The 7,956-nt window shown below is 38.4% G+C and overlaps 1 long non-coding RNA gene across 2 annotated transcripts in view; it reads left to right on the top strand.

Moving 5' to 3' along the window:
- LINC02546 (long intergenic non-protein coding RNA 2546) overlaps nt 1-6,661 on the top strand; it is a 36,264-nt gene extending 29,603 nt beyond the window's left edge. For both annotated transcript variants that reach the window (NR_149107.1, NR_149106.1), the window contains one exon: nt 6,349-6,661. This is a non-coding gene — a long non-coding RNA (long intergenic non-protein coding RNA 2546). The remainder of the gene's footprint in view (nt 1-6,348) is intronic.
- Nucleotides 6,662-7,956: the final 1,295 nt, after the last annotated feature.

Genomic DNA, 7,956 nt, shown 5'->3' on the forward strand with positions numbered 1-7,956 from the left:
TTTGTTTTTTCTCTGTGTTTCCGATCAATTTTTTTCTCTGTTTCAGATCAATTTTTTTTCTCTGTTCTATTAATCTGTATTACAGGTAACTAATCTTCTCTTTGGTTTGTCAAATCTGGTATTTCAAGAATCTTTACCTTCTTAATTTTAGTTATGTCATATTTTGGTCTCAAATGTTTATTTAGTATTTAAAATATTTATTGATCAGGCATGGTGGCTCACTCCTGTAATCACTCTTCGGGAGGTCAAGGCAGGCAGATCACCTGAGCCCAGGAGTTCAACACCAGCCTGTGCAATATGGCGAAACCTCATTTCTATAAAATATGTAAAAATTAGCCAGGTGTGGTGGTGCATGCCTGTAATCCCAGCTACTCAGGAGGCTGAGTTGGGAGAATCCCTTGAGCCATGGAGGTGGAGGCTGCAGTGACCCAAGATCACGCCACTGCACTCCAGCCTGGCTGACAGAATGAGACCCTGTCTCAAAACGGAAAATAAAAAAAAGATTTCTATTCACTTGTGACATCCTCCATCTTGCCATCTGCTTTCTTAGACATATTAATCATAACTATTTTTAAGGACACTATTTCTCTTACTTTTTTTTTCTATTAGTATTATCTTTTTGTGTCTTTTGGTTAGCTTTGTAATTTTTAATGCACTTATTTTAAATAAGGTAGTTCTAGAAGTTCTAGATGAGTCTTCATGTCTAAAAGTCAAAGAATAAGTCACCTTAATCCAAGAGTATAAAATATTTCAAAGTTGAATGTCTTTTTTTTTTTTTTTTTTTGTAAGTTCTAATCTATCTCTGGTTTACTTTTACTCCTATGATGTAATCTTTCAGGGACCCCAGCTGAAAGCTTGGGTTATCGGGGTCCCTCTTCTTAGTCAATAAAACTCCAACATTTAGGTTTATAGCCTGTAAGACTGCCAAAAATTCCAATTATCTGCTTAACTACTTAATTACCCCCCTTTAACTTGACTTCTTCATATGTAAGTCCATGTTGCTTATGGTTGGCAAATGTGATGAAGATGAGAGAAGTCTGGGATGTCGACTTCACTTTTCTGTGCTTGCTTTTTGTCCTGTATCTTGATTCATCAGGTATGAGCTGCTTAGGCAGCCCTGAGCTTCATTTTTAAAAAAATATTCACAAACGCATGAGACTGTCAAAAAGCTGTTTTGAACTTCTTAGCTTCTTAGTAGCAACTTACTACTCAGCATCTCAACTTCTTGAGTCATGACTCTTAGGCATCAGTGAATCTCTCAGAAAGACAGGGTAATATGTTCCATTCACTTAGCACAATGTTTTTCCTTTCTCTGAGATGTAACCCTTCTATGCAGATGCCTTAATATTTCTCTGATGCCTTAAAACAATGTATTTTAATTACTCTATCCATCTTTTTCTGTTGTTTTTGATGGGTGGATTCATCTCCTAGCTAGAAGTAGAAATTCAGACAAACTTTGGGAAGTTCTTGAGAGAAGAGAGAGAGAATTGGAGCTTAATAAGAATTACGTAGCATAAAGATAGTGAAAAATATTGCAAAGAGGTGAATCGGTATTGAAAAAGTTTCAGAGGCAAAACTAAGTCTATAGTGGTAAAGGGTATGTGTTAGAGACAAGATGTGGCAGGCAGTCAGTTATTGATTGAACACCAGCTACTGGGCTACATGCCAATAGAATATAAGGACATAGTGCCTTGCTTCTGGGACTTGTATCATTGGAGAGGAGATAATAGATGTTACCAAACAACTATAAAGCAAGGTTTCATAGATATATGTCTTGTAATTTTTAATATATATTTTTTATTTTAAAGGAATTCTGATAAGGGAGAAAACAAGGATGGCATTTGAGATGGGACAAGAAAAAAAAATGCTGTTTTTACCAGGAAACAAGGAAGGAACATAGAGCACATAGGATAAAATAAGGAGAGGGGACAAAAAGTGTGGTATAGTGTTTGAGTGGTTCTCAAACTTCAGCATGCATTATACTCACATGCAGGGCTTAAAATAAAGACTTCTGGGCTCCATCTCCAGAGTTTCTGAAGGAATAGGTCTGGACTAGGGCCAGATAATTTGCATTCCCAACAAGTTCCTAGGTATGCTGATGCAGTTGATACAGCTGATGCTGCTGATCTCGAGCCACATTTTGAGAATCACAAGTATAGACAGAATGACTACTAAAAGAATAGTAAAAGAAAGTGTAAATAATAGCTGACAGAAAGGCAAAAATGATTTTTTTAAAAAGTACTTGCTTCAAAGAATTTATAATGTGCTTAATTTGGTGGAAGCACGGGGCAGGGGAATAGAGTTCTGCATGTAGGATCATAAGTAATTTGCGATGAGAAAAAAGAAAAAAAAACGTAATTTGCTAAGAAATGTGATGGCCATGCAACTAGTAAAAATAATTACTTTAGAAATCATATTTCCTGAGCCAGCATCTCGTTATCTTGATAACTTTGTAAATAGTGCAGTTTTCCTATCCAGTATTTCTACTGAAATCCAGGCTGATTATTTTAAGAGCTGTTAGTAGCACTCCATGGTAATTGAACATATTAATAATTATGAGGAACAGAATAGCTATACAGCATTTTTGCCTTAATTATATACCATGTGACTGTGACTATCCACATTACTGAGACAGAGTTTAGTTGAACTATCCCTTCTGATGTAATGAATCTAGGTGAAACAAACTTCCTTTAATATTTCAGAAACATCAAATTATACTTAGATATAGCAAAGTACTTATATTTGAAGTCAACTTCAGAAACATCAAGTTATACGTAAAAATAGCAAAGTACTTATATTTATATGTTTACAGAAAATGAAAAGGAAATATTGTTTTGGTGTTAAAATTAACAATAAAGGAAAAACAAATAATCAGCACACTTCTCTGTACAATTAAAAGGTGAAGTTTATTTTAAACATTGAATACAAATTTGATTGTAGAAAAAATGGCCAACTTCCTATTCTTCCATCTTTGCTTGGAAAAGTCTAAGTGTCTTCAATAATTATAAAACTATTTTCTTTAAGTAAAATGCATGTGATTGTTTTAGGACAGCATGGCATCTTTAAAGAAGGCACAAATACTCTAGCAAGTCTCCCAGCTTGTCCTTCCAGGCTAGCCTAACAGCTGGTGATAGATTAACCTTCACCATTTCTGAAAATTCTTGTATAGATAAAAATCACAGTGGAAATCGCCAGAACTCAGTACATTAGTACATTAACAATTTGAAAAAGGTAATGAATCTGGGGATAGAATAGATGAAAACCTGGGGAAATGTCAATTGTGATAACATCAATAATGAAATTCATTCTATTCAGATATAGATGAGATTCAGTGAACCAAGTCTCAGCTCTTCAAAATGATTCTAAAATGTCCAATAGTTTCCATCCCCCTCAACCTGAGTCTGATCTGCTAGCAGTGAAGGAAAGGCAAATTAGATTTTTAAGCTTTAAGCGCCAGGTCAGCAAGTCCCTTATTGGTTCTTGGCTGTTTTAAATAATTTAATGTGTGATTTTATCAAGCAGACATTAAAGACACAGGAGGTAAAATACTCCCTGGAATGAAGAACCATTCTTATTCAATCAAAATAGAATGCCCTGCTTTTTGTAGTAAAACATCAAATTGTTTGTGGTTACATAGAAATAATTCAGAGAGTCCTAGAATTTACCACTTCCTTCAACACTATATTAAAGCACATTGTGTCCTCTCAGAATATTCCAGTCTTTGATGACCAAGCAAACACAGTCAGGCCTCCTGGGGTTGATGGGGAACTATTCCCTCTGGATCACAGCTCATGAAGCTGTCTGGTAACATTCCTGTTATCACTTTCCCACAGGAAAAACAATCAATCTATAAAATAAAGTTTTCTCTCGCTTTCTATAGCTTAACCAGATGTGTTAGGGAGTTGAACTGTATGTTTATTAATTTCAACGTGTTGAATTGTCTTATGTTTTACCTTCTTTATATATAAAGCACATTAAAATATGAAATTTTTTTTCTCTGCCACAAACATTGTTTAACTAGTGTAGAGTCCTTGAAGAATGTCTTCTATGCATGAGAATTATTTAATATGCAAAGATTCTATACTCTGTCAATTCTGGATATGGCTAACTAGTTCTTTAAAGGGCTAGACAGTAAATATTTTGAATATGTAGCTATAGCATCTCTGTCATAACTATTTAACTCTGCCATCATAGCAGCATTGAAATCAGAATCAGATAGACCTGAATTTGGCATCCAGTTCTCCCATGACATGATTTAGGCTAAGTTATTTACTGTCTATGAGCCATAATTCCTCTGTAAAATGGAAGCAAGATCTTTTTCATAGGCTTGTTAAGGAGCTTGCTATTGAGTCCCTAGTACATGCCAGGGACAGCACCACACAATTTCACCAAGTACCTCATTCTCACAATAGTGGTGTTTGAGGTAGGATTAGCTCCTTGGAGAGTTATGGCAATAGGTTCAGTGAGATTAGCTCTGGGTCATACCACTAATACAGACCTGGGGTTCTGAACCAACATTTCTGAGACTCCAAAGTCCTTTGTTCCTTTTAATCTGTATTACCTGGCTGTCACTATACTGCCTATTAGGAATGAGAGGGCATATTTAAAAAAAAAAAGTGACTAGCACATTTTGTGGCCTGTGTTAGATGCTAAATAAACATTGGTTTTCTTTCCCTCTCTAGGGAGGCTAAAAAACTAGTTAATGGCAGCACTAGAAAGACAGCCTGATAAATCTTCCTGAGGAGAGGAGAGAGGGGGGAAGATACCTATCAGATACTACTGACAGCAACTGAGTAGAAAATTCAGTACTTGTCTAGCTCTCACGCAAGAGCAGTTTCTGATGGGCAGCAAAATAGGGCTTGAAACCTGAAGACTGGCTGCAGCCACGAAGTCTCCACAGAGAATATGTGTCGGTTAGATTTTAAATCCCAGATCCCATATCAAGCATATAGCATTCTCATTACTTTCAGCAGCCTTGGCTCAGCATGCCCAGGAATTAAGGATATGCTGTTTCTCTCCTAAGCTTGCCTTTTGCTGCAGCAGCTCTGAGATGAACCAGAGTATATGGCAAGGACAGTGGGAGAAAAGGAGGCTTCTAGATTCAGGCCCCTGAGTACTCAGTAGTTCTACTATCCCTGAAGAACATCCCCTTGTTCTTTGCTTTTAAAGAGAAGACTTTTGATGGGTTTGACATTCCTTCTTAGGAAGCATGCTGTCGGGCTCCAGAGAACATAATTACAATTACACAAGACAAATGGACATTTTTAAAGGACTATTACAAAGATGCCATACTAGTCATGGTGACTAGGCTTGGTTGTGCCAACAAAATAGGCCTGAAATCTCAGTGATATGATAAAACAAATACTTGCTTCTTGTGCTTGTAAAGTCTGCTTCCAGCAAGTTGAGTGACTCTGGGGAAGCTGGCTGCGGCAGTGACTCAGGATCCAGGCAGTTTCCATACAGACTCTTACATGCTTTGGTCCAGAGGTGATATGCATTACTCAGATTTACAGCCCTTGCCCAGAGTCACTTGACCTCTCCTCATTACAAAGAAAGTCAAAAAACAATGCGGAGTAAGGGAACTGAGACTAACGTGTGGAAATTCAGTCAGCCATAAATGTCTCTGCTAGAGATGAGCCTGCTGTCAGTGCAATGGAAGTAAACCTTTTTCTGAATACAAAACCATTCAGTGTTCTTCATATCAACTTTAAATTCCAATAGGGGACTACAGTGTATAACGAAATGCTATTGAGTAACTCATTATGGCAAACAAGAATCGCCTTAGGCATGGCTGAATTTTCCCTAACTCTTCTTTTTTGCCCAATGCCTTAATACCTGAGAGGTGGCATGTTTGTGTTGTTCCATGAGGCAGAAGCAAGACCAATGATATTACTGGGGATAGGCTTTGCCTTTATGTCCGTGAAGAAAGTCTACTTTGAGCCTAATTCATGTTTTGATTGACCAGTGGAGAAAGAGCAAAGGGAACTCTGGAGTTAAAGCTCAGGTTCTGAGCCCATTTTTTTTTGGTTGGGGGAGGAGGGTTGTTTTTGTTTTTTCCTAGGAGAAAGGCAGGAGGGTCTGACTGGATCACCAGAATCCTCAAAGACAGGGCTAAAGGAAGAGAGTTTGTCTTCTACTTTTCTCTGGTATAAAGTTAGGTAGGTCATTCTCAGGATTTTATCTGAAAGACAGTGTTAAAGAAAAACACCCAAAGTATCTTCTAGGCAAGAGAACCAGGAGAGGGTTGAGGAGTTGGGAGGAGCTCAATGTTAGAATGGGGAAATCCGAACAATTACTCTGGTGGGCTAACTTTCTCAGCTTTTTCTTTCTTCTCTTCTGTTTGTATAGAGTAAGACCATTTAAAGGGACCAAAAATGGATGAACATACTTGGCACTATGAACTAAAAGATCTTTGGCTAAAGAAGAGATGAAGACTCATTCAACTCCTACAAGTGAATTAAGGAGCTCTGAGAAGGCAAAGCCAGCCCAGGAGGGTGGACACACTAAGAACAATGTGCCTTGTCCTGATACACAGTTGTGGTATAGGTAACAAAATCTGAGTATCCAACCTAAGATGTTACCCCTCACCTCACCAGAATACCTCCAATCCCTTCCCTGGAAACACAGAATAAATTCCTATAGAAAGTTATAAAGCAGAAAAACAAGGTATCTTTTGTGGAGTAAAGAATGATTATGGAGGAAAAACACCATTAACTGTCACAGAAATAATTGTGTCATTCAGCAGAATGGTAGCTCTAAGGAAGACAGCAGCAATACTCAAGGTACAGCCATTCTTCTGGAACAAGTCCCACCAATCTGAAGCTGGAGTCAATGGTGGTGACAGTGGTGACATTGCAGAAAAGTAAGAAAGTTGAGGGAGGGATTCAGGAGAAACATGGCTGTTGGAATTAGACACTCAAGATCTAAACTAAATGGGATTAGTAATGATAAAAGGATAAATGGTTGATTTCTCCCATCACCACTTTGCCTGGAAATATTGAAAAGCAGGAACCCAGTGGTATGGTTGACTTCTCTAGAGCTACTGACAATAAAATGGGCTGCAACAACCACCACACACACACACACAAAAAAATCCCAGTGGGATTCTTGTTAATAGGGACATTTAGGAAAGGGTGGGATGCTCACTCACCCAGGTTATTGCAGAAAACATCCTGCTTTGACTGAGAAATTGTGGAGGATGCCTAAGGTCACTTCTGACATCTATGGAACTGTAAAGTCTGTTTCCCGTGGGGTATAGTTTTGTCATATTGTGACTATGTATTTGTGTATGTATTGTGTATGTATATTTGTCTTCCTATTAGCCAATGCTCTGTCAACCCACGGTTGTTTTGAGAATCAAAGAGATAACATGCAGGAGGATGAAATGGGAACAGATTAACACAAGATGCTCACACTGCCTAGTAATCATAGCTTTCTCCCTATTTCTGTCCCTGTCATCGGGCACAGCTATTCTATTAAATAGCTGCTCTCAATACACAATGGAAGTGCTTATTTTAATGTCTGTCTGAACCTGGATATTGATTGGGAGCAAGGTTGGAGATTAGTTGATGAAGCTACATTTTGTTTTTTTCACTAGAAACCGCAACAGGCAGAGACAAAGTTTGCGAATCCCAGTGCATCTCTTGACAGGCAAGCCTCTAAGCTCTCTCTGAAGCCTTCCCCACTTCAGCTCTTGAGATAACACGATTCCTTTCCCCACCCCAGCCAGGTGTCCCATCCACTACCAACCTGGAACAGAAGGAAGCTGGATGTTGTAACTTCCCTTCAGGCTGGGGCTGACCACAGAGTGGTTCTCCCTCTTCTCAGTTCTAGAGCTCGAGCCTCCCCTGCAGCTTCCATTGGAATAACTTAAGTTTTCCTTTCAGGCCTTCCATAGTGAGGCCCTGCTCATTTGGATGCAGTGCAGCCCACCTCCTGCCAACATGATCTTTCTTC

Source organism: Homo sapiens, chromosome 11, assembly GCF_000001405.40.
Source record: "Homo sapiens chromosome 11, GRCh38.p14 Primary Assembly".
NCBI classification, from domain to species: domain Eukaryota; kingdom Metazoa; phylum Chordata; class Mammalia; order Primates; family Hominidae; genus Homo; species Homo sapiens.